Below are 24648 nucleotides of genomic sequence, written 5' to 3'. Positions count from 1 at the left end.
ATATAAATAATGCTCCCCAGTTGGCTGTGTTCATTCGTGGTGTTGATGAAACTTTTGATGTGACCGAAGAACTTTTAGATATGGTACCCATAACAGGCACAGCATCAGGAAATGACATATTTTTATGTGTTGAGAAAAGTCTTAAAAAATTTAATGTAGACTGGTCAAAATTAGTAAGTGTTAGCACAGATGGTAATTCTGCAATGGTTGGTGTTAAACAACTTGTTACAAAACTAAATCTAAGGTGGCAGGGCTTTGCAAAGGCACAGAACTTAAGTGTGTGCATGGCCTCATTCTCCAGGAATCACTTTGTGCTAAAAAGTTAAAAATGGATCACGTCATGGACATAGTAATTTACAGCATAACCTGGATACATTCCCATGGCTCAAACCACAGAAAGTTCAACACTTTGTTCAGTGAGTTAGATGCACAATATGGAAGCCTGTTCTGTGACATGGAAGTGAAGTGGCTGAGTCGTGGTATGGTGCTAAAGTAGTTTTTTGAACTGTTGGAAGAAATTGACTTTTTCATGTCCTCTAAAGGAAAATCTGTGCCTCAGCTCACTAGCAAAAATTGGGTCAAAGACTTAGCCTTTTTGATTAACATTACAACACATCTAAATACATTGGATATTTCTCTGCAAAGACATTCACAAGTGGTTACACAAATGTATGATTCAATTCACTAATTCCTAGCAAAATTGTGTCTTTGGGAAACTCATTTGACAAGGAACAATCTGGCCCACTTCCCTACACTGAAATTAGTTTCTGAAAATGAAAGCGATGGCCTGAACTATATTCCAAAAATTAAAGAATTGAAGACTGAATTCCAAAAAAGATTATCTGATTGCAAACTTTATGAAAATGAACTGATATTGTTCAGTTCACCTTTCTTGATGAATATTAATCATGTGAATGCAGAGCTGCAAATGGAAGTTATTGAATTGCAGTGCAACACTATACTGAAAACTAAATATGATGATGTGCGAATCCCAGAATTCTACAAATTCCTAGGTAGTGGTTACCCTAAATATAAAAAACATTGTGCAAAGATTCTGTGCATGTTTGGAAATACCTATGTTTATGAGCAGCTATTTTCTCTTATGAAACTAAGTAAAACTAAATATTGCTCCCAGTTAAAGGAAAGGTGAATTCTCTGCTGCACGTTGCTATGCAAGATTCACAACCTGATGCTGATTGATATCTTGGGCCCTAAGAAAGGAATGTTAGATTTCGGATTTCAAATCTGAGAAGTAATAAATTACGAAACTTGGGATAATTATTTCTATTTTCAAATTATATTTTTTCAATATGAAGTTTAGAGTACAATCTCTGGCATTATATATGTTTGTTAAATCTTATACCATATAAAATAAAGTTGGATTATACTTTTGGTGGTTTTTTACACCTCACCTTTCTGGCCTTTTTTCAAGTTTATAAACCTCTGCCCTAAAAGAAGCCACATTTTTCTTAAAGGCACTTGTGAGCCTGGGATGTGAACAAAGGAGTCAGGTGGATGAACTGAATGTTTGGACACCTTGTGCGACCCTATCCCTAAGCACGACAGACCTGCCACAGTCATCTTGGGGTTCAGGCCAGGGTAACTAACCTCCTTCCCTGTACAGGCTGGGTGTCAGAGCCATTGGACTTTTTTGTGGTGCTTCCATTTGGATTTACACACTTCTTTCGAAGTTCCAACATTGTTGGTCAGCTTACAGTTAGTGTGGCTGGCCCAGAAACATTCTGCCTCTTACAGGCAGGGATGCTTGTTCCTTTGGCATTGGGGCACCCAGGGGAGTGCACAATGGGGTGTCGATGTGTGAAAGAGCAGATGAGCATTTTTCCAGGGAGAAGGCCTGTAGCTGCCAGCAGAGTCTTAGGTCTGTGACTCAAACAGTGTTTTTCCACTGACATAGCGAGATGTCTACTCACTACTGTAGAAGCCATATCTTAAAAAATTAGTCTAGCCAGGCGTGGTGGCTCACACCTGTAATCCCAGCACTTTGGGAGGCCGAGACAGGCAGATCACCTGAGGTCAGGAGTTTGAGACCAGCCTGGCCAACATGGTGAAATCCGGTCTCTACTAAAAATACGAAAATCAGCTGGGCGTGGTGGCAGGCACCTGTAGTCCCAGCTACTCAGGAGGCTGAGGCAGGAGAATCTCTTGAACCCAGGGGGCAGAAGTTGCAGTGAGCTGAGATCACACCATTGCACTCCAGCCTGGGTGACAAGAGCAAAACTCTGTCTCAAAAAAAAATTAATTATAAAAGTAATATATACTTATTGTAGAATATTTGGATATTATAAAGAAATTTGGGCCAGGCACGGTGGCTCACACCTGTAATCCCAGCACTTTGGGAGGCCGAGGCGGGTGGATCATGAGGTCAAGAGATCGTGACCATCCTGGCTAACACAGTGAAACCCCGTCTCTACTAAAAATACAAAAAATTAGCTGGGCGTGGTGGCAGGCGCCTGTACTCCCCGCTACTTGGGAGACTGAGGCAGGAGAATCGCTTGAACCCGGGAGGTGGAGGTTGCAATGAGTGGAGATTGCGCCACTGCACTCCAGCCTGGTGACAGAGCAAGACTCTGTCTCAAAAAAAAAAAAAAAAGAAAAATTTTGGGAAAATACTTGTAATCTCAGCAGAGGTAAGTCCTGTAAATATTTGGGCATGCTTTCCTTCAATTTTCTTTCTTTTTTTTTTTTTTTGAGATGGACTTTTGCTCTTGTTGCCAGGCTAGAGTGCAATGGCACGATCTTGGTTCACCACAACCTCCGCCTCCTGGGTTCAAGCGATTCTCCTGTGTCAGCCTCCCGAGTAGCTGGGAGTACAGGCACCTGCCACCACGCCTGGATAATTTTGTATTTTTAATAGAGACAGGGTTTCTCCATGTTGGCTAGGCTGGTCTCGAACTCCTGACCTCAGGTAATCCGCCTGCCTCGGCCACTCAAAGTGCTGGGATTACAGGCGTGAGCCACCATGCCTGGCCTTTCAGTTTTCATTGTGCGATTTTATGTGGTTGAACACATTATGGATGGACCATAGTGTATCCTGCTCTCTGCCCTCCCTCCCCCACTCAACAGTAAGCCCTAAACAGCTCTCAGTCTTAAGGCTCAGGTTGTGTTTATTTGATTCCTCAGGAGCGCACTGATGGGCTTTGCTAGCTGGTGAGTTCTCTCAGCAACATGTGAGCATGGCTGAGTTGATTTCTCAATGTAGGGTCCCTCTTCCTTTCTGCCAGGCTCATAGAAGGCTGGAAAAAAACCCTGCCTATTCCAGGAAGGAAAGGCAGATCTCACCTCTGGAGATCCTCAGGACAGCCTCAGTGCAGAGGTCTTGGGACTGCTAATGAGTGTGAAGCTGAGCTCCAACAGCCACAGCAGAGCAAAGAGATTAAGACGGAGTGGCTTTAGGGCAGGGTGGTGAGGTCTTGGGGCTCTGGTAGCCTCTGAGAAAGCCAACTTAGACGGCAAACCCAGATTCAGATTCCCTTCTTTAATAAGAGAGACTTGACTATAAATGTGGGTGACAGTGCGGTGGTGAGGACCAAGTGGGCGCTCACAGCAGGCCTCTGGAGGATGAGTGAGATGGCAGGGCAGGGCCAGGCTCTTCTGCAGAGGAAACTTGGGGACCATTTCGGAAAGGATGAGTGACTAAAGGTACAGAGTGACTTTGAGGATGACAGTGCAGCCGATGACAAGGCAGGGCAGTGGGAAGAGGGCCCAGGCATGGAGATCAATGTTGGGGTTAAGGATGGGGAGACTGGCTAGGCAAGGGGCCTCTGAACGTCAGGTCATTATGGTTGAGCCTTTTGGCTCTGGGTGAGCGAGGCACAGGCCCAAGCTCTGCTTTCAGCTGCGTTCCCCTGTAGGAGTGGAAGCAGTCAGTCTCACAGCTGCACTCTTACGCGTCTGACTCCTGGCTCCTCGGAGGCTCATGCCATCTGGCCTTACCCTTCCCCACTCAGCTGTGGTCATCTAGAACCCTATCTGGCTTTTTTGTTGTTGTTTTTTGTTTTTGTTTTTGTTTTTAGACAGGATCTCACTCTTGCCCAGGCTGGAGTTCAATGGTGCAGTCACAGCTCACTGCAGCCTCGACCTTACAGGTTCAAGCTGTCTTCCCACCTCAGCCTCCCAAGGAGCTGGAACCACAAGTATGTGCCTCCATAGCTAGTTTTTTAAAATTTTTGTAGAAATGGGGTCTTGCTATGTTGCCAGGCTGGTCTCGAACTCCTGGGCTCAAGTGATCCTCCTGCCTTGGCCTCACAAAGCGATAGGATTACAGGCATGAGCCACTGCACCTGGCTCCCTATCTGTGGGCAGCAAGCCACACAGGTGCTGAGGCAAGAGACCGAGGGCATGAGCTGTTGCAGTATTACAAAATATATAAAATAAGAATAGTTATACTAGCTATAGATCATAGATATGATTATATATGAATATCATTAATCATTAGTTTGTAGCAATGACTCTTTATTCCAATATTATAATAATCCTTGCTCTGCAATCATAACCTAGGAAAAACCAGGCCTTACAGAGATAGGAGCTGAGGGGACATAGTGAGAAGTGACCAAAAGACAAGAGTGCGAGCCTTCTGTTATGCCCGGACAGGGCCACCAGAGGGCTCCTTGGTCTAGCGGTAACGCCAGTGTCTGGGAAGACGCCGGATGCCAAGTGGACCGTGGTCTAGTGGTAGCATCAGTGTCAAGGAAAAACACCCGCTACTTAGCCGACTGGGAAAGTGTGGGGGGGGGGTGGTCTCCCGTTCCCCGGGGGAGTTTAGAGAAGACTCTACTCCACCTCTTCAGGCCCGCCTACAGTTATCCGGAGGCCTAACCGTCTGTCTCCCTGTGATGCTGTGCTTCAGTGGTCACGCTCCTAGTCCGCCTTCATGTTCCATCCTGTACACCTGACTGCCTTTTAGATAGCAGTAGCAAATTAGTGAAAGTACTAAAAGTCTCTGATATGCAGAAATAATGGTGTAAGCTGTCTCTTTCCTCTCTCTCTCTGCCTTGGCTGCCAGGCAGGGAAGGGCCCCCTGTCCAGTGGACACGTGACCCATATGACCTTACCTATCATTGGAGATGGCTCACACTCCTTACCCTGCCCCTTTGTCTTGTATCCAATAAATGTCAGTGCAGCCTGGCATTCGGGGCCACCACTGGTCTCCGTGTCTTGGTGGTAGTGGTCCCCCGGGCCCACCTGTCTTTTATCTCTTTTTCTAGTGTCTTTATTTCTACAATTTCTCATCTCCGCACATGGGGAGAAAAACCCACCGACCCTGTGGGGCTGGTCCCTACACCTATCTGGTATTTGTTAAAGAGCCTAGACCCCTGGCTCATGGGCTTCTTTCCATCCCTACTTCTGGGACCTCAGCCTCCCAGCTGGTCCTGGATATTCAGGTCCCAGGTGTTTACCTGCCTTAAGAAGTCCATAGGTGGGGCCTAGCGTGGTAGCTCATGCCTATAATCCCAGCACTTTGGGAGGCCAAGGCGGGTGGATTACCTGAGGTCAGGAGTTCGAGACCAGCCTGGCCAACATGCAGAAACCCCATCTTTACTAAAAACACAAAATTAGCCGGGCATGGTGGCGCATGCCTGCAATCCCAGCTACTCGGGAGGCTGAGGTAAGAGAATCACTTGAATCTGGGAGGTGGAGGTTGTGGTGAGCTGAGATCGTGCCATTGCACTCCAGCCTGGGCAACAAGAGCGAAACTCTCTCAAGAAAAAAAAAAGTCTGTAAGCGTTCCTTCACCCGTGAAAATGTGAATGGGACTCCTCACTCTCAGTTGCTTGCACTATTCTTAGGTTCTTTTCCCCTCAATAACATCTCCAGCTCTCTGATTTCTCTTTCTCCCAAGTCTGTCAGTCCCCTTCAAAATCTCCTTTCGGATGCATCCTGTCCCACATGGACCAACTTACCACTCTTGCCAATATCCCTAAATCTCTGGTCTTCCCAGCCCCTCTGTCACCTGCTCCATAGAAATTTCTATCCTGAGTCAATTAATACATGTCCCATGCTCCTCCCCTATTTTGGGGTGCTAGCAGAAATCCTACCTCGGGCTGGTTGGTTTCATTCTAAGCTTGTGGCTCCAGTCTCATCTGGGCCAGCAGTGCTCCCCTACAAGCTTTTATTTCCTTTGTCCTCCTGTTCTTCCCTGGAGTCAGAGCCACCATCTCATTTTTATTAGGTAACTTCATCTCCTGATAAAAGCCATTTGAGAGAAATCTCCCCACCACCTTCCTGCTCCCGCATACTCACCCTACATGCTTGCCTGCTCTGACGTCTCCAGCATCCTACCTCCTGTCCTCAGTGGCCTTCCTCCCAGCCGTGGCAGCTCCCTCTCCCTACGCTCCACTCTCCATCCCCTGCCTTCAAGGGCTCAAGGACTTCCCTCTATCCGCTGTCTGCTTTCTCTCTGTCTTTTTAGAAATTTTGTTTCTACTGGCTTTTGTAACAATATGCCCACATCTCTGGCACACTCCCTTTACATGTCTATTTTAAAAAATGTATAAAATTGACACTACTCAAAATTCAATAGGTACAAGTGGAAGTCTCCCACTCATCCTCTAGCTACCCAGCTCCTTTGTATAGAAGGAGCCAATATTATTGGCTTCTTCTTGTCTTCCACTGTTCAAGACAAGGAATTATGTATTCTTTTCCTACCGATTTTGTTTTGTTTTGTTTTGAGACAGAGTCTTGCTCTGTCACCCAGGTTGGAGTGCAGTGGTGCAATCTCCGCTTGCTGCAACCTCCGCCTCCCGGGTTCAAGCAAGTGTCCTCCCTCAGCCTCCCAAGTAGCTGGGGCTACAGGTGCGTGCCACCACGCCCGGCTAATTTTTTGTATTTTTAGTAGAGACGGGGTTTCACCATGTTAGCCAGGATGGTCTCGATCTCCTGACCTCGTGATCCGCCTGGCCCAGCCTCCCAAAATGCTGGGATTACAGGCGTGAGCCACCACGCCTGGCTTCCTACCGATTTTTGACACATAGCAACAAGCTATAACACATTTTCCTATACCTTGCCTTTTTGTCGTTGAAAGTATTTTGGAGATCATTTCATATCTGTAATGAACAGCTGCTCCCTTTGTTTTTATAGCTGTAGTGCTCCATTGCATGGAGGTACAAGAATGTCCTTAACCAGTTTATTAGGTTAACTCTACCTGCTATAGTGGATGGACCCCAGTTCTTAGCAGTGCAACACAGTTAAGTGTTTGTTTCTCACTCATGCTACATTCAGAGTGGGGTATTCCTGGGCAGGTGGCCTTCTGTGTGGTCATCTGGGGACCCAGGCTTCCTCTGTTTTGTTCCTCTGTCCTGTTCTGGGTCATTGGAAAGATCTTCATTCAGCAAGTAGATAGGAGAGAACAAGGAGGATCCAGTGGGAGCACTTGGTGCAGGCCAGGCCTAGATATGTTTTCACCACTCATGGTCCTGTGCCACACCTCTAGTCCCAAGGAGGCTGGGCAGGTGCTGCAGCTACACATCAGGAAGAAGAGGGAATGGGTTGGCTGAGCAGCTAGCCTGTCTCTACTGCCCTTGGCTCCTGTTGAGGCTGCCATGTTCTCAAGAGAATCCAGAACCAAGCCTCTCCCTAAGCGTGTGCCCCCTTCCAATCCTGCCCTCTCCTTCTGTTCACAGCCAAAGGTCTTGGAATAGTCCCCCAATTCCCTGACTGCTGTTCTTCATCTACAACTCCTCTGTGCACCTGTGACACCTGTTACGTCTCCTCAGCCCCCCATCAAAACTCTTTTCTCAAGGACACCAGGGACATCTGCAGCAAAGGCTTCTAGAAAGATGGTTTTTAGATCTGATCTTAATCTCGGCAACATCTGACACCGCCACCCTTTCCTCGCCCTTGAAGTCTCCTTCTTCTCATTTCCCTCCTCTCTGAAGGCTTCGCAGGCTGTCCCCTCCCTCTACTGTCCACTCCATGCTGATGTTCCTCTGATGACTTTCCCCACAGCTTGTCAGAGGCTTTGCCTTTTGGCTCCACAAGATGTTGAAAGCTCAGCTTGTACTTTCCTTGCCATAGCCCTGGAAATATTCGTTTCTTCCAGAGTCTTGGTGCCTTTTATTGAGAACAGCATTCAAAACCAAGATCTGGCCAGGCACAGTGGCTCATGCCTGTAATCCCAGTACTTTGATAGGCCGAGGCAGGTGTATCACCTGAGGTCAGGAGTTTGAGACCAGCCTGGCCAACATGGCGAAACCCTGTCTCTACTAAAAATACAAAAATTAGCTGGGCGTGGTGGTGGGCACCTGTAATCCCAGCTACTCAGGAGCCTGAGTCAAGAGAATTGTTTGAACCCAGGGGGTGGAGGTTGCAGTGAGCCGAGATTGGGCCACTTCACTCCAGCCTGGGTGAAAGAGCGAAATTCCATCTCAAACAAAACCAAACCAAACCAAACAACAACAACAACAAAAAAAACAAGATCTGGGTGTTGGGTGAGTTCAGTGGTATTGGGTGTTAGTACTTTTAGGCCCTTCCAGTGGATAGAGTTAGGAAATACATGTCCACACATGTGCATCTCTAAAGCTCTTTCTATATCTGTATGTATTTTAAAAACCAGGAGTTCACAGTGATGTCTCCAATGCCAGTCCAACACCATAATGTTCATTCTAGCCTACTCTTCTTATTAATTTTTTAGAGACATGGTCTCACTATGTTGTTCAGGCTGGACTGCAGTGGTGCGATCATAGCTCACTGTGGCCTTGAATTCCTGGGCTCAAGTGATCCTCTGCCTCAGCCTCCCAAGTAGCTGGGACTACAGGTGTGCACCACCACACCTGGCTAAATTTTTTATGTTTTATCTTTTTTGTAGCGATAGGGGTCTTGCTATGTTGCCCTAGCTGGTCTTGGACTCCTGACCTCAAGCAGTTCTTCTGCCACAGCTTCTCAAAGGGCTGGGATTACAGGCATGAGCCACTGCATCCATCCCCTTTCCTTATTTTTAGCCATTTTCCTGATGGTGAGAAATCTGGCTCTTGCTAGCTGCAGTATATATACTTGCTCAGTGCCAGAATCCACATCAAGTAGTTCATGGATTTCTAACTCACACCTCTGTGAAAAAGAAAGATGTGAGTTAGATGTGAGATGTGTGCTCCTCTACCAACGGCAAAATATTGTGCAGTTTTTCTCCCCTTTAGTCATAGAGCATATAGTCAAAACACTGTTTCTAAAGCTACATAGGTCACTGCTCCCCTAGGATGCCCGAGTGCACGTTATTCATTTGTAAAACAGCAAGTTCACTTGTTTCTGTTCGTATTCCATTTTGGGCCATCTCTACCACCCTTCTCCAATTCCTTGTTGATTTAAATTTTTTTTTCTATGAAACACAAATAGTTCTATAAGTCAGAATTATACAAAGATGTACCGTTGACTCTTGAACAATGCAGGAGTTAGAGGTGCCAACCCCCTGTGTAGTTGAAAATCCACATATAACTTTTGATTCCCCAAAAACATAAGTACTGATAGGCTGCTGTTGACTGGGAACCTTACCAATAACAGGAACAGTTGATTAACACATATTTTGTATGTTATATGTATTACATACTGTATCTTACAATACAGAAAATGTTATTAAGAAAGGCCGGGCACAGTGGCTCATGCCTGTAATCCCAACACTTTGCGAGGCTGAGGTGGGCAGATCACCTGAGGTCAGGAGTTCAAGACCAGCCTGGGCAACATGGCGAAACCCTGTTTCTACTAACAATACAAAGAAAAAAAAAATTAGCCAGCCATGGTGGTGGGTGCCTGTAGTCCCAGCTACTCAGGAGTCTGAGGCAGAGAGAATTGCTTGAACCCAGGAGGTGGAAGTTGCAGTGAGCCAAGATCATGCCACTGCACTCCAGCCTGGGCAACAGAGCAGACTCCATCTCAAAAAAAAAAAAAGAAAATCATAAGAAAAAATTTACTATTCATTACGTGTAAGTGAATTATTATAAAGGTTTTCATCCTCATCTTCACATTGAGTAGGCTGAGGAAGAGGAGGAGGAGGGGTTGATCATGCTGCCTCAGGGGTGGTCAAGGCACAGACATGGACCCACAGTTCAAACCTGTGTTGTTCAAGGGTGAGTTGGACTCAGAGAAGTGTTACCTCTCCTGTCCCTTCTCCCCTCTCCCACCTTTCACAAGAGGGAATCCCAAGTAGCTGGGATTACAGGTGCGTGCCACCATGCCCGGATAATTTTTTTTTTTTTTTTTTGTATTTTTAGTAGAGATGAGGTTTCGCCATGTTGGCCAGGCTGGTCTGGAACTCCTGACCTCAGGTGATCCACCCGCCTCGGCCTCCCAAAGTGCTGGGATTACAGGCGTAAGCCACCGCGCCTAGCCATGATTCTGTTATTTCTAAGGGCAGGGGAAATCGTAAACATTTTGATAATCAATTTTAATACAAGGATAGAGGCTATAAAATCTAGGCAGAAAAGCATCCCTCTCTTACGGAAGGTCTTTCATATGGTCTGTATATCAAGAATCCCCACAGATACCCTGCAAAGTCGATCCTATTCTTCCATTTTACAGATGAGGGAAGCCTGAGCCTCAAAGAGGTGAGGTAACTTCCCAGGGTCGCACAGCTGGGAAGTCGCAGAGCAGGCGCAGACCACCTGATTGCTCTTGCCCCACCCCCCACCCCCACGTGCTTTTGAGTCCACACTGCAGCCGCCTCTGCTCCACCACCTTCTGTCACCCACAGCGCCCCCACGCTGGGTCCGCGGGCCCCCACGTCCAGACCGCAGGAAGGGACACTGGGAGGGCGGGAACCTGCGCACCCGCTGAAAAGACACAGCCTGGGAAACCGCACCCCAGAGGCAGCCTCCGCGGCCAGCCCAGGGGCAGAGGGGCTCCGGGTCTCAGCGTCTGCGGGTGGCAGGTGGCGTCAGGTCTGCACGACGGATGCTGGGAGGCCTGCAGACGCCCCGAGGAGCCACGGCTTCCTGAGCACACTCGAGAGGCCCGCGCCCCGGGCAAACTGCATGGACTGTGCTCTGCAGGCGCCGCGGCCTTTCCCCGTTCGCTCTCGAGGCCCCTGCGGCCCCCGTCCTACCCTGCCCCAGCTCCTCCAGCAAAGGTCCCCGAACCCGAGGCTTCTGTGCCGCCTTGACAATGGCAGCCCCCTCCTCTGCCACCGCGGGGAAGTCCCGGAACTCCTAGACTTTGTTCTCTTCTTTTCCCGCCGGGGCTGCTAGGGAAGCACTCTTAGGGCCGGCCTCCAGCCTTGGGTTCCCGCCCGGGCCTCGCCGCGCGCCTTCCGCTCTCCACGGGGCCTGCAGCCCGGGACCTGCTGCCCGCCACCCGCTACCCAGGGCTTCCTGCCGGCCGCCAGCGCCACCTGACCCTCCGACGAGAGCCCAGCACTGCCCAACCCAGGCCTTCTGTAGGGTCCCCTCCTCTCCACGTATGGCCCCATTATCCCCACGTGGTCCCCCTCCTCCCCATGGCTGCCCCATGCCCATGTAGGGTCCCCGTTTTCCTTGCGTGGGTTCTTCGTCCTCCCCATGTGGGGTCCCGGCCCTCTCCAGGCTTCTGGAAGGCCGGTGAGCTGGAGACAAGCATGGTCAGGGAGCCCCGGGAAGGCTGAGCAACGGCAGGAAAGGGACGGGCTCAGCGCATTTCTGGGAAGTAAAGTGGCGGGATCCCGAGGCAGCAGGAGTCCTGGCACCCAGGACCACAGTTTGAGAGGCCTGGCGCAAAATGAAAATGCAGGGCTCCTGCTCAGCAGTAACTCAGACGTCAAGATGGCGACAGCAGAGCTTCCACCCAAGCCCGGAGCCCCGCCAGGTGCAGGCCGCACACCCGCGAACCCGCCCTGCTGCATCTGCGAGTGGGGCGCCCAGGGAGGCGAGGGGCTCTGGGGGCTGCCTGGAGAGGCCTGACCCCTTCCTTTCCCGGAGGCCGCTCCCGAGCTATGCCAAACCCGGGCTGCCGCGGCGCTGCCACCTGCTGGCCACCTCGGGCCCCTGCCGCGTCCCTCGGAGAGAAGGACCTTGTGTGGAGTGGGCAAGCGGCTTGGTGGCCCGGACCTCACCTTCACAGAAGAGAAGCTAGCCGGGGAGGGAGTTCACATCGGCTACAGCACCCCAGTGACGGTGGCAGCACGTTACTGTCGCTCTTGAACTGTCCTGTGCCTTACATCAGTAAGGTAGAGATGATGACCCCCCACTACAGGTAAGGAATTAAGAATTGGAGTTTTCTGGCCGGGTGCGGTGGCTCACGCCAGTAATCCCAGCACTCTGGGAGGCTGAGGAGGGTGGATCACCTGAGGTCAGGAGTTCGAGACCAGCCTGGCTAACATGGTGAAAGCCCGACTCTACTAAAAACAAAACAAAAATTAGCCAGGCGTGATGGCGGGCACCTGTAATCCCAGCTACTCAGGAGGCTGAGGCAGGAGAATTGCTTGAACTCGGGAGGCAGAGGTTGCAGTGAGCCGAGATCTCACTGCACTCCAGCCTGGGTGACAGAGTGAGACTCTGTCTTAAAAAAAAAAAATTGGAGTTTTCTGGCTGCCAGAGGCAACGGAGCGGCCTCCCATGACCCTTCTCTGTTCTCCATTTCTCCCCTGATCATTCTCTGGGTACCCGTCTCCCCCGCCACAAACCCCAGTGCTGACTCCCTGGGCTGGGGTGGGGCAGGTGGCCCAGGATCACACTGACATTACCATAACTACTACCTTGCCTGGGCACAGGGGTGAGGCTGTAATCCAGGGACAGTCTGGGGTACTCCTTTGTGGGAGATGGCTTCTGGGAAAGATGTTTTCTAGCTCCCTCTGGACTCTAAGATGTGTAGAGATGAGATTCATTGCTTGAACCACAGCAAGAGACATTCTGCCACCATGATGAAAGCTGGCCTGAGATGACGCTGACACAGAAGTGGAAAGAAAGACAGGAAGATGGCTGCAGGGTGACACCTGTGAGCTGCTGGATCAAGCCGGGCCTGCAGGGCTGAACTTTGCAGTGAATCCCCTGGACTGTTTAAGTCATGCTGACCAGCCACTTGTGATGAAAGGTGTCATAACTGACACTCTGCCCAAAGCCTCCCAAGTTAGACCCAGGACCGAAGACTTCAGAGGCCACAGTTTATCCCACGGATAATGTGCTGCTTGGAAGATTAATTACTGTCTGAGAAGAACAGCAGGGGAACAGGTGGAGAATAGGGCAGGGACTTGCCTTGGGTTCAGATGCAGCTCCATACAGAACAGTGACACGGGCAGTTTGTCTTCACCCCTCCCCTACACTGGGGTCCTTTGCCCACTTGCACCTACCTCCCCTAGCTCCAACCTTTCCCCTGCCTCTGTGTCATCCTCTCTCCACCTGAGGGAGGGAACGAGCTGTGTGTTCGTGGCAGCTTCTTCGTGAGACCAGCAGCTCTAAGCTGGGCGTTGAAGAGGTTGGTGAGTGAGCAGGGCGCGGTGGCTCACGCCTGTAATCCCAACACTTTGGGAGGCTGAGGTGGGCGGATCACTTGAGCTCAGGAGCTCACGAGCAGCCTGGCCAACATGGTGAAACTGTCTCTACTAAAAATACAAAAATTAGCCAGGTGTGGTGGCAGGCACCTATAACCCCAGCTACTTGGGAGTCTGAGGCAGAAGAATCACTTGAGCCCAGGAGGTGGAGGTTGCAGTGAGCTAAGATTCTGCCACTGCACTCCAGCCTGGGTGACAGAGGGAGACTCCGTCCCCTCCCCCCACCCATAAAAAAGGCTGGTGAGTGAAACTTGGGCCCCTGCAGGAAAAGCACTGTGGTCCCAGCTGGCTGATGGGTACAGGGACACAGCCCAACCATCAGATGCTGAGCCCCCTGCCCACTTGGAACCCAGCCCAAGAGCTTTTCTTCAGCCCTGGACCCCTGGCGCTGGTGAGCTCTGGTTTCTTCCTGACCTCCACTGGCCACCGGGCTGGAGATCCCCTGTGGGATCCCACCCCAGCCCTGGGGAGGGGCCAGAGGGAAGCTGGAGGCAGAGTGGGCAGCTGCTGAACTCTGAGCTGCCAGAGGTAGTGAACAGGGTTGTCAGACTGTTTCAACTCAAATTCCAACACAGACACAAAAAACCAACAACAATTATAATCCCCAATAAATAAATTTAACATTTCGATCTTTCCCTTTTGTTTTAGAGATAGGGTCTTGCCCTGTTGCCCAGGCTGGAGTGCAGTGGCACAATCACAGCTCACTGCAGCTTTGATCTCCTAGGCTCAAGAGATCTTCCCTGCTCAGCTCCTGAGTAGCTGGGACTATAGGCGTGCACCACCACACCCAGCTAATTTTTTTTAAAAATGTATTTGTAGAGACCAGGTCTTGCTTTGTTGGCCAGGCTGGTCTTGAACTCCTGGGCTCAAGTGATCTGCCCACCTCAGCTCCACAAAGTGATGCTATTACAGGTGTGATCCACTGCACTTGATCCAAAATGTTTAAATTACATAAATCACAAATGCAGGCCTGGCACAATGGCTCACACCTGTAATCCCAAGACTTTGGGAAGCTGAGGCAGGCGGATCACTTGAGGTCAGGAGTTGAAGACCAGCATGATGAAACCACATCTTTACTAAAAACACAAAAGTTAGGCCGGGTGCTATGGCTCATGCCTGTAATCCTAGCACTTTAGGAAGCCGAGGCAGCAGATCACATGAGGTCAGGAGTTCAGGACCAGCCTGGCCAACATAGTGAAACCCCATCTCTACTAAAAATACAAAAATTAGCCAGGTGTGGTGGCACATGCCTGTAGTCCCAGCTACTTGGGAGTCTGAGGTAGGAGAATTGCTTGAACCCAGGAGGTTACAGTGAGACGAGATAGCACTACTGTACTCCAGCCAGAGGGTGACTCTGTCTCCAAAAAAAAAAAAAAACAAACAAAAAAAAAACCAAAGGCAAACCCTAACCCTATTAAGAAGAAAATGAGTCTGTTTCATCTCCCCAGCCTCCTCACTGCCCCATCAATTTCCAGTTACATTTTGTCACACATTATATGGGAAATTTCCCAGTAATCCACATTATAGCCAAGAGTTTCAATTATGTTGCATGACCTCTTGATTTTATTATTATTTTGTGATTTTTTTTTTTTTTTGAGATGGACTCTCTCGCTCTGTCACCCAGGCAGAGTGCAGTGGCGCGATATCTACTCACTGCAGCCTCCCCCTCCCAAAGTGCTGGGATTACAAGCCTGAGCCACCATGCCTGGCCTATTACCTCATCTTTTAAAGCTCACGTCTTACTATCTAACCAAATCTGCTGTTACCATCAGTTTACTTACGCATCTTTTCACGGTGGTGATTGACACAGGAGGTAAAAGGGAATATTGAAGTGGATTTAACAATGTGCAATGGCGGGAGGTGTTTCCTCGGGGGAGCCTGCTGACTCCTGTAACAGGAGGATCTGAAGGGAGCTTTTTCTTTCTAGACTCCCCGTGTCCCCTGGGCAGTGGCCACAGCCACTTCATTTTTCCGAAGCTCACCCTCTAATCCAGCTTCCATGAAGCACCCAGAGGGATCTTCTCAAAATATTATATAAGATCGTGTCACTCTCTGGCCTAAAACTGTTCAGTGGCTTCCACTGGACTTCAGTCCCTCAAACCCCTACCTGCCTCTCCAGCCCCATTTGCCACCTCTTCCTATCCCGTGGATAAGATTGAGTTCCTTAGTCTTCAAGCCCCTCAGTCTCCCTTGAGGCTCCGAAGGTCCCAGTCCTCTCTCTCAGGCTGCCTACAGCGCTTTCCTCTCCCCTACCAGGCTGACAGATCCCACGGCCCTTCCAGGCCCACCTGAAATGGCATTTCCTCTACAAGCCTCTCCCTAATTCTCAAGTTCACTCCAGAAATGCTTGTGGAGCTCCTGCCCTGTGCCAGGCATCGGACTAGGCCCGAACCCTTCGTGGAGAGCATTGTAGATGCTGGTGATGGGGGCGGAGAGGTGGTGGGAGTCAAATACTCACACTCATGTTCTTAGAGGGAGAATTGAGACTTGGCGCTGGCCGTGAGTGTGGCTAGGTGAATCGGAAGATTTAAAAGACAGCCAGTGAGGCTGGAGGGCAGAGAGTCAGGGGGCAGTTGGGAGTGGCTGGAATTACCCTGGTAGTGCAAAGGTGTTGAGACCGGTTAAAATTCTGGAGCTCCTGTGGAGGTAGAATCGACTGGCATTACATGTTTGCCAAGCTACCTTCTCATTCAGCCTCTGCTGTAGGTCTGCAAATAATCCAGTCCTGGTCCAGTGAGAGCTGTATTTCTCCTTGAAGTTAATACATTTTTTATATGAAAATTTTTATTGTAATATAATTCATAACAGTAATAGCCACCCTCTTAAGGGTACAGTTAAGTGGGGCTTTTTGGTATATTCACAAAGTTGCACAACCATCACAACTACCTAGAACGTTTTCATCGCCTCAAAAAGAGACCCCATACCCATTAGCAGCCACTGCCTATTCCCCTCTGCCCCTGGCAACCACTAATCTGCCCTCTGTCTACAGACTTGCTGATTCTGGATATGTCATATAAATGGAATCATAAAATATTTGGTATTTGCATCTGGCTTCTTTCACTTAGCATGTTTTCAAAGTTCATCTACGTTGCAGATCAGTACTTTTTTTTATTGCTAAGTAACATTCCACTGTATGGATATATCACAATTTGTTTATCCATTCATCAGCTGATAGACATTTAGGTTGTTTTGCTTTTTCTTTATTATAAATAATGCTGCAGGGCTGGGTGTGGTGGCTTAACGCCTGTAATCCCAACACTTTGGGAGGCAGAGGTGGGAGGATCGCTGGAGCTCAGGAGTTTTGAGACCAGTGTGGGTAGAATAGTGAGACCTCAATTCTACAAAAAATTAGCGCAGTGTGGTGGCAAGTGCCTGTAGTCCTAGCTACTTAGGAGGCTGAGGTGGGAAGATCGCTTGAGCCCAGAAGGCAGAGATTGCAGTGAGCTGAGATCACGCCACTGCACTCTAGCCTGGGGAACAGAGCAAGACTGTCTCATGAAAAAAAAAAAAAGTTGCTATGAACATTTGTGGACAAGTTTTGTTATGGACATGTGCTTTCATTTCTCTTGGCTATATACCTAGGAGGAGATTTGCTGGATTGTAAGGCTACTCTGTGTTTAACCATTTGAGGAACTGCCACACTGTTTTCCAAAGCAGTTGCACTATTTAACATTGCCATCAGCAGCGTACGAAAGTTCCAATTTCGGCTGGGTGCAGTGGCTCACGCCTGTAATCCCAGCACTTTGGGAGGCCAAGGTGGGTGGATCACGAGGTCAGGAGATCAAGACCATTCTGGCTAACACAGTGAAACCCTGTCTCTATTAAAAATACAAAAAATTAGCCGGGCATGGTGGCACGTGCCTGTAGTGCCAGCTACTCGGGAGGCTGAGGCAGGAGAATCGCTTGAACCCAGGAGGCAGAGGTTGCAGTGAGCCAAGATCGTGCCACTGCACTCCAGCCTGGGTGACAGAGCGAGACTCCATCTCAAAAAAAAAAAAAAAAAAAAAGAAAAAGTTCCAATTTCACTACATCCTCACCAATACCTGCTTTTCACTGACTCTTTTCTTTTTGCAGAGATGGGGTCTCATTATGTTGCCCGAGCTGGTCTCAAACTCTTCAGTTCAAGCGATCCTCCCATCTCAGCCTCCTGAAGTGCTAGGATTACAGATGTGAGCCACTATGCCCAGCCTTAGCTGACTTTTTAATTATAGCCATTATACTGGGTGTGAAGATGTAGCTTTTTTTTTTCTGAGATAGGGGTCTTGCTATGTTGCCCAGGCTAGTCTTGAACTCCTAGCCTCAAGCAATCCTCCTGCCTTAGCCTCCAGAGTAGCTGAGATAGATGTAGTTTATTGTGGTTTTGATTTGTATTTCCCTGATGGCTAATAACGTTGAGCATCTTTTCATGTTCTTATTCACTATTTGTATATATTTGGAAAAATGCCCTTTGCCCATTTTACAATTGGCTTGTTTTTTTGTCATCAGATAGTAGGTCTTTATATTCTGGATATTAACTCTTTATCAGATATATGATTTGCAAGTATTTTCTCCTATTCTGTAGATTATCTTTTCATTTTTTTCTTGGCCATTTATTCTTAAACTTTTATATAAATTTTAGGATCAGCTTGTTGATTTTTAGGATCAGCTTGTTGATTTCCACAAAAATCAATTCCTGAAATTTTGACAGGAATTGTATAGAATCTGTTTATTAATTTGGGGAGTATTGTCATCCTAACAAAATTAAATCTTCTGATCCATGAACATAGGAAGTGTTTCCATTTATTAGGTCTTTATTTCTATGTTGTTTTGCAGTTTTGAATGTTTGTCTTGCACTTCTTTTGTTAACTTTATTTATAAGTATAATGTTTCTTTTTGATGCGGTTGTAAATTGAATTTTTTTTAATTCAATTTTTGATTGTTCATTGCTATTGATAGAAACACCCTTGATTTTTACATATTGATTTTGTATCTTTTGTATCTTGCTGAACTTTTTATTAGCTCTAATAGTTTTTTTTGTGTTTGTGTATCCCGTTGGATTTTCTATACACAAGATCATGTTATCTGCAAATAGAGATAGTTTTATTTCTTTTTTTTTTCTTGCCTAATTGCCCTGGATGGCACCCCCAGTACAATTTGAATAGAAGTGATGAGAGCAGATACCTTTGCATTGTTCCTGATCTTAAAGCTTTCAGTCTTTCACACTGGGTTAGATGTTTTTGTAGATGCCCTTTATCAGATTGAGGAAGTACCCGTCTACTGTTTTGTTCAGTGTTTTGCTTTTTATTAAACATGAAAGGGTGTCAGTTTTTGTGAGCTCTTCCTGCATCTGTTGAGATAATTATATGCCTTTTGTCCTTTATGGTTAACACATTTTTATTTATTTATTTGTTTTGACACGGAGTCTCATTCTGTCACCCAGGCTGGAGTGCAGTGGCACAATCTCAGCTCACTGCAATCTCCGTCTCCCGGGTTCAAGTGAATCTCCTGCCTTAGCCTGCCATGTAGCTGGGACTACAGTTGCAGGCCACCATGCCCGGCTAATTTTTGTATTTTTGATGGAGATGGGGTTTCACCATGTTGACCAGGCTGGTCTCGAACTCCTGGCCTCAAGTGATCCGCCCACCTCGGCCTCCCAAAGTGCTGAGATTACAGGCATGAGCCACCATGCCCAGCCGGTTAACACATTTTTAAAAGCAGTTACCTAGACAGGGTAGAGAAGTAGGAACGAGGAAAATGGAAGACAAGCGCAAGAGAGACTTTTAACTGTCTTTTATTTATTTTATTTTATTTTATTTTGAGATGAGGTCTCTCTATATGCAGTGGCTATTCGCAGGCATGATCTGGCTTGGCTGGAAGTGGTAGCTCACACCTGTAATCCCAACACTTTGGGAGGCCAAGGCAGGCAAATCATGTGAGGTCAGGAGTTCGAGACCAGCCTGACCAATATAGTGAAACCTTGTCTCTACTAAAAATACAAAAATTAGCGAGGTGTGGTGGCGCATGCCTGTAATCCCAGCTACTTGGGAGGCTGAGGCAGGGAATTGCTTGAACCCAGGAGGCGGAGTTTGCAGTGAGCCAAGGTCACGCTAGTACACTCCAGCCTGGGTGACAGAGTGAGACTCTGTCTCAAAAAAAAAAAAAAAAAAAAAAAAAAATGATCTAGCTCACTATAGCCTTGAACTCCTGGTCTCAAGCTAGTCTCCTGCCTCAGCATCCTGAGCAGCTGGGACTATAGGCACACCACAGCACCTGGCACCTTTTATAATTTTTGGTTTCTTGGATGTATTTATTACACAAAAAATTAAATAATAATAATTATTATTATTTTGAGATGGAATCTCGTTCTGTCGCCCAGGCTGGAGTGCAGTGGTGCCATCTCAGCTCACTACAATCTCTGCCTCCCAGGTTGAAGCAGCTCTCCTGCCTCAGCCTCCTGAGTAGCTAGGATTACAGCCACCACACACAGCTAATTTTTCTATTTGTAGTAGAGACGGAGTTTCATCATGTTAGTCAGGCTGGTCTTGAACTCCTGACCTCAAGTGATCTGCCTGCCTTGGCCTCTCAAAGTCCTGGGATTACAGGAGCGAGCCACCACTAAATTATCTTTAAAAATTTTTATATATGGTACTAGATGTATCCATGAAATAAATATTTTGATAAAATTAAATAAAATGTACTATCTTAACCATTTTTAAGTGTATAGTTCAGTATAGTCACATTGTTGTGCAACCTATTTCTAGAACTTTTTCATCTTGCAAAACTGCAACTCTTGGGCTGGACACAGTGGCTTATGCCTGTAATCTCAGCATTTTGGGATGCCAAGGTGAGAGGATTTCTTTTTTTTTTTCTCTGTTGCCAAGGCTGGAGTGCAGTGGCCCCATCTCAGCTCACTGCAACCTCCGTCTCCTGGGCTCAAGCTGTCCTCCCACCTCAGCCTCCCAAGTAGCTGGGACTCCAGGAATGCGCCACCACATCTGGCTAATTTTTGCGTTTTGTTTGTTTGTTTTTCGAGATGGAGTTTTGCTCTTGTTGCCCAGGCTGGAGTGCAATGGCGCGATCTCAGCTCACTGCAACCTCTGCTTCCCAGGTTCAAATGATTCTCCTGCCTCAGCTTCCCGAGTAGCTGGGATTACAGGTGCCCGCCACCATGCCCGGCTAAGTTTTGTATTTTTAGTAGAGACAGGGTTTCACCATGTTAGGCTGGTCTCGAACTGCTGACCTCAGGTGATCCACCTGCCTCAGCCTCCCAAAGTGCTGGGATTACAGGTGTGAGCAACTGCACCCGGCAAAATTTTTGTATTTTTTTGTAGAGAAGGGGTTTTGCTATGTTGCCTAGGCTGGTCTCAAACTCCTGAGCTGAAGTGATCTGTCCGCCTTGGCCTCCCAAAGTGTTGGGATTACAAGCGTGAGTCACTGCGCCCAGCCCAGGAGTATTTCTTGAGTCCCCAGTAGTTCAAGACCAGCCTAGGCAACATACAGAGACCTTGTCTCTACTAAAAAAAAAAAAAAAGAAAAAAAAAAAGAAAAATTAGGTGAGCGTAGTGGTGCAGACCTGTAGTCCCAGCTACATGGGAGGCTGAGAGGGGAGGATCACTTGAGCCTGGGAGATAAAGGCTGCAGTGAGCCAGGACTGCACCATTGCACTCCAGCTTGGGTGACAGAGTGAGACGCTGTCTCAAAAAAAAACAAAAACAGAAAACAAAAAAATACCCCTGAAAATGTGTACCCATTAAACACCTCCCATCTCCCCAGCCCTTGGCAACCACTATTCTACTTTCTGTTTCTTTGAGTTTGACTACTCTAGATATCTTCTATAAGTGAAATCATACAGTATTTTTTTGTATGTGACTGTCTTATTTCACTTAGCACAATGTCTTCAAAGTTCATCCATGTTGTAGCGTGTGTCGGATTGGATTTCCTTTCTTTCTTCTCTCTCTCTCTCTCTTTCTTTCTTTCGGAGTCTCGTTCTGTTGCCCAGGCTGGAGTGCAGTGGCACAATCTCTGTTCACAGCAACCTCCACCTCCTGGGTTCCAGCGATTCTCCTGCCTCAGCCTCCAGAGTAGCTGGGTTTACAGGCGTCCACCACCACCCACGGCTAATTTTTGCATTTTTAGTAGAGATGGGGTTTCACCATGTTGGCCAGGCTGGTCTCAAACTCCTGACCTCAAGTGATCCACCCACATCGGCTTCCCAAAGTGCTGGGATTACAGGAGTGAGCCACTGTGCCTGGCCTTCTATTTTTAATTTTTGAGGAACTGCCTTACTGTTTTCTCTGGCAGCTGCACCATTTTACATTCCCACCATCAATGCATAAGGATTCCAATTTCTCCACATCCTCACCAACAACTGTTATTTTCCTCTTCCTCCTCTTCCTCTTCTTCCTCCTCCTCTTCCTCTTCTTCCTCCTCCTCTTCCTCTTCTTCCTTCTCCTCTTCCTCTTCTTCCTCCTCCTCTTCCTCCTCCTCTTCTTACTCCTCTTCCTCTTCTCTTCGACAGAGTTTCAGTCTTCTTGCCCAGGCTGGAGTGCAATGGTGCGATCTTGGCTTACCTCAACCTCTGCCTCCCAGGTTCAAGTGATTCTTCTGCCTCAGCCTCCTGAGTAGCTGGGATTACAGGTGCATGTCACAACGCCCACCTAATTTTTGTATTTTTGGTAGAGACGGGGTTTCACCATGTTGGTCAGGCTGGTCTCGAACTCCTGACCTCAGGTGATCCACCCACCTCAGCCTCCCAAAGTGCTGGGATTACAGACATGAGCCACTGCGCCTGGCCCCATCTCTCTTGACAAAAAAAAAAAAGCAGCAGCTCACAGTGGAGTGGGGAGACATGCATGAGCATGCTCACCCATGAGTGTTGTGCAGCTGGTGCAGTAGCACAAGGAGGAGGACCTGACCCAGCCTGGGGATTACAGGGAGGACCCCAGGAAGGTGGTTTAGTCCTGAAGGACGATCAGGAGGCCAGAGATGGAGGGGGTCATCTCAGGCAGGGGAAGGAGCACAAGAAGTGGTGGAGGTGGGACAGAGGCCAGCGGGCCCCCTGGAAGAAGATGGATAGTCCAGTTGGCTTGGAGTCTGGGCACAGGACCAGGACTAGGGTGAGATAAGTGAGGCAGTTGTCTTGCACACAGAATTTAAGGTCCCAAAGTCAGTGATCAATATAATATTTTAGTGCAATATTTAAAAATAAAAATGCAAGAAAATCCATGATGAACAAAATATCAAATTTTAAATGACACAATCAGTGACAGTGCTGTGCAAGCCACAGTGCATCCTGAGGCAAAAGAAATGTCAGTGATAGTGATCTGTGTTCATTTAAAAATCTGATTTTAAGCAGGACATGGTGGTTCATGCCTGTAATCCCAGCACTTTGGGAGGCTGAGGTGGGTAGATCACCTGAGGTCAGGAGTTCGAGACCAGCCTGGACAACATGGTGAAACCCTGTCTCTATTAAAAATACAAAAATTAGCCAAGCGTGGTGGCGGGCGCAGTGGCAGGCGCCTGTAATTCCAGCTACTCAGGAAGCTCCCGCTTCAACCTGGGAGGCGGAGGTTGCAGTGAGCTATGATTGTGCCACTGCACTCCAGCCTAGGTGACAAAGCGAGACTCCATCTCAAAAAAAAAAAAAAAAAAATTAGCTGGGCATGGTGGTGGGCGCCTGTAGTCCCAGCTACTTGGGAAGCTGAGGCAGGATAATTGCTTGAGCCGGGGAGACGGAGGTTGCAGTGAGCTGAGATCGTGCCACTGCACTCCAGCCTGGGCGACAGAGTGAGACTCCGTCTCAGGGAAAAACAAAAACAAAATTTAAAAAACACATAAAATAAAATTCTGATTTTGACTGGGCGCGGTGGCTCATGCCTGTAATCCCAGCACTTTGGGAGGCTGAGGAGGGAGGATGACTTGAGCCCAGGAGTTTGAAACCAGCCTGGGCAACATGGCAAGACCCCATCTCTACAAAAAATTAAAAGATTAGCCTGGCATAGTGGAACATGCCTGTAGTCCCAGCTACTTGGGAGGCTGAGGTTGGAGGATCCCTTGAGTTTGGGAGGCAGAGATTGCAGTGAGCCAAAGTGACAACACTGCACTCCAGCCTGGGTAACAGAGTGAGACTCTGCCTCAAAAATAATAAAATAAATAAAATTCTGACTTTTTTGTTCATCATGGATTTTCCCCAGTAATTAAAAAATATTGCATTGAAATATTATTTATCTTGATGATTGAGTTTTTTGGCATCCCTTAAGTGTTGTGCCTGAGGCAAGTGCCTTACCTCACCCTAGACCCCCTCTCTGCAGCAGGAAGGGGTTTTCTTTGAGACAGAGTCTTGCTCTGTCACCCAGGCTGGTGTGCAGTGGTCTCGGCTCACTGCAACCTCCACCTCCCAGGTTCAAGCAATTCTCCTGCCTTGGCCTCCCGAGTAGCTGGGACTACAGGCACACGCCACCAGCCCTGGCTAATTTTTGTATTTTTAGTAGAGACGAGGTTTCACTATATGTTGACCAGGCTGGCCTCGAACTCCTGACCTCGTGATCCACCTGCCTTGGCCTTCCAAAATGCTGGGATTACAGGAGTGAGCCACTGGCCTCAGGAAGGGGTTTTCAATGTGGGTTGAGGCACTTGGATTTTCTCCTGCTGGCAGTCAGAAGTCACTGAAATCCCTTAATTAGAAGAATGTGTTTTTATCTGCTGCTGAGGAAAACTGATGTGGCTGCCACATGGTAGGTTAAGATACAGGGCAAGACAGGTCAGGGTGGCTGACTTGGAATGGCTGGGTTAATCCAGGCAGGAACTTGAGCAGGGGCAGTAAGAGAAGGGCGGTGGAAAGCAGAGTGGACCCACTCCAAAGACACTCGAAGCCCAGGCTGGGGTGACTGGGAGCTGAGGGAGAGGTCAGGGTCTAGACAATGCTATGATCTGAATGCTGGTGTCCCTCCAAATTCATATGTTGAAAGCTAATCCCCAAGGCAAGAGTATGAAGAGGTGGTGCCTGTAGGAGGTGATTAGCTCCGGAGGCTCCACCCTTGAGAATGGGATTAATGTCCTTTTAAAAGGGGCTCACAGGAGCCTGTGGACTCCTTCTGCCTCTGAAGAAGCAGCAAAAAGGGCACCGTCTAGGAGAGAGGTCTTCACAGACACCAAATCTGCCAGTGCTCTGATCTTGGATATCCAGCCTCCAGAACTGTAACACATTT

General features: G+C 48.1%; 1 long non-coding RNA gene across 2 annotated transcripts, besides 6 other annotated features; it reads left to right on the top strand.

Annotated features, from left to right (window-relative positions):
• Nucleotides 4529-4688: an enhancer, noted in NCBI's record as "active region_17289". NCBI's record gives its function as "activates an Ori minimal core promoter by ATAC-STARR-seq in GM12878 lymphoblastoid cells {active_cell/tissue: GM12878}" and the evidence as "EXISTENCE:reporter gene assay evidence [ECO:0000049][PMID:35858748]".
• LOC107985998 (uncharacterized) lies at nucleotides 10302-16495 on the top strand. 2 transcript variants are annotated; one of them, XR_001739927.3, is made up of 2 exons: nucleotides 10302-12168; nucleotides 15719-16495. It is a non-coding gene; the product is annotated as an uncharacterized LOC107985998 (long non-coding RNA). The 2 variants fall into 2 exon arrangements; XR_007088119.1 differs by lacking the exon at nucleotides 15719-16495 and adding an exon at nucleotides 12814-14088.
• Nucleotides 11689-12018: a silencer, noted in NCBI's record as "silent region_12428". NCBI's record gives its function as "represses an Ori minimal core promoter by ATAC-STARR-seq in GM12878 lymphoblastoid cells {active_cell/tissue: GM12878}" and the evidence as "EXISTENCE:reporter gene assay evidence [ECO:0000049][PMID:35858748]".
• Nucleotides 12719-12858: an enhancer, noted in NCBI's record as "active region_17288". NCBI's record gives its function as "activates an Ori minimal core promoter by ATAC-STARR-seq in GM12878 lymphoblastoid cells {active_cell/tissue: GM12878}" and the evidence as "EXISTENCE:reporter gene assay evidence [ECO:0000049][PMID:35858748]".
• Nucleotides 13242-13752: an enhancer, noted in NCBI's record as "H3K4me1 hESC enhancer chr2:232345811-232346321 (GRCh37/hg19 assembly coordinates)". NCBI's record gives its function as "activates a minimal SCP1, AML or CMV promoter by ChIP-STARR-seq in naive H9 embryonic stem cells {active_cell/tissue: H9 hESC(naive)}" and the evidence as "EXISTENCE:reporter gene assay evidence [ECO:0000049][PMID:30033119]".
• Nucleotides 13753-14265: an enhancer, noted in NCBI's record as "H3K4me1 hESC enhancer chr2:232345298-232345810 (GRCh37/hg19 assembly coordinates)". NCBI's record gives its function as "activates a minimal SCP1, AML or CMV promoter by ChIP-STARR-seq in naive and primed H9 embryonic stem cells {active_cell/tissue: H9 hESC(naive and primed)}" and the evidence as "EXISTENCE:reporter gene assay evidence [ECO:0000049][PMID:30033119]".
• Nucleotides 18400-18905: an enhancer, noted in NCBI's record as "NANOG hESC enhancer chr2:232340658-232341163 (GRCh37/hg19 assembly coordinates)". NCBI's record gives its function as "activates a minimal SCP1, AML or CMV promoter by ChIP-STARR-seq in primed H9 embryonic stem cells {active_cell/tissue: H9 hESC(primed)}" and the evidence as "EXISTENCE:reporter gene assay evidence [ECO:0000049][PMID:30033119]".

Source organism: Homo sapiens, chromosome 2 (assembly GCF_000001405.40).
Source record: "Homo sapiens chromosome 2, GRCh38.p14 Primary Assembly".
Classification (NCBI taxonomy): domain Eukaryota; kingdom Metazoa; phylum Chordata; class Mammalia; order Primates; family Hominidae; genus Homo; species Homo sapiens.
The sequence above is the reverse complement of the archived record's forward strand: the minus strand, read 5'-3'. Positions and strand labels throughout refer to the sequence as shown.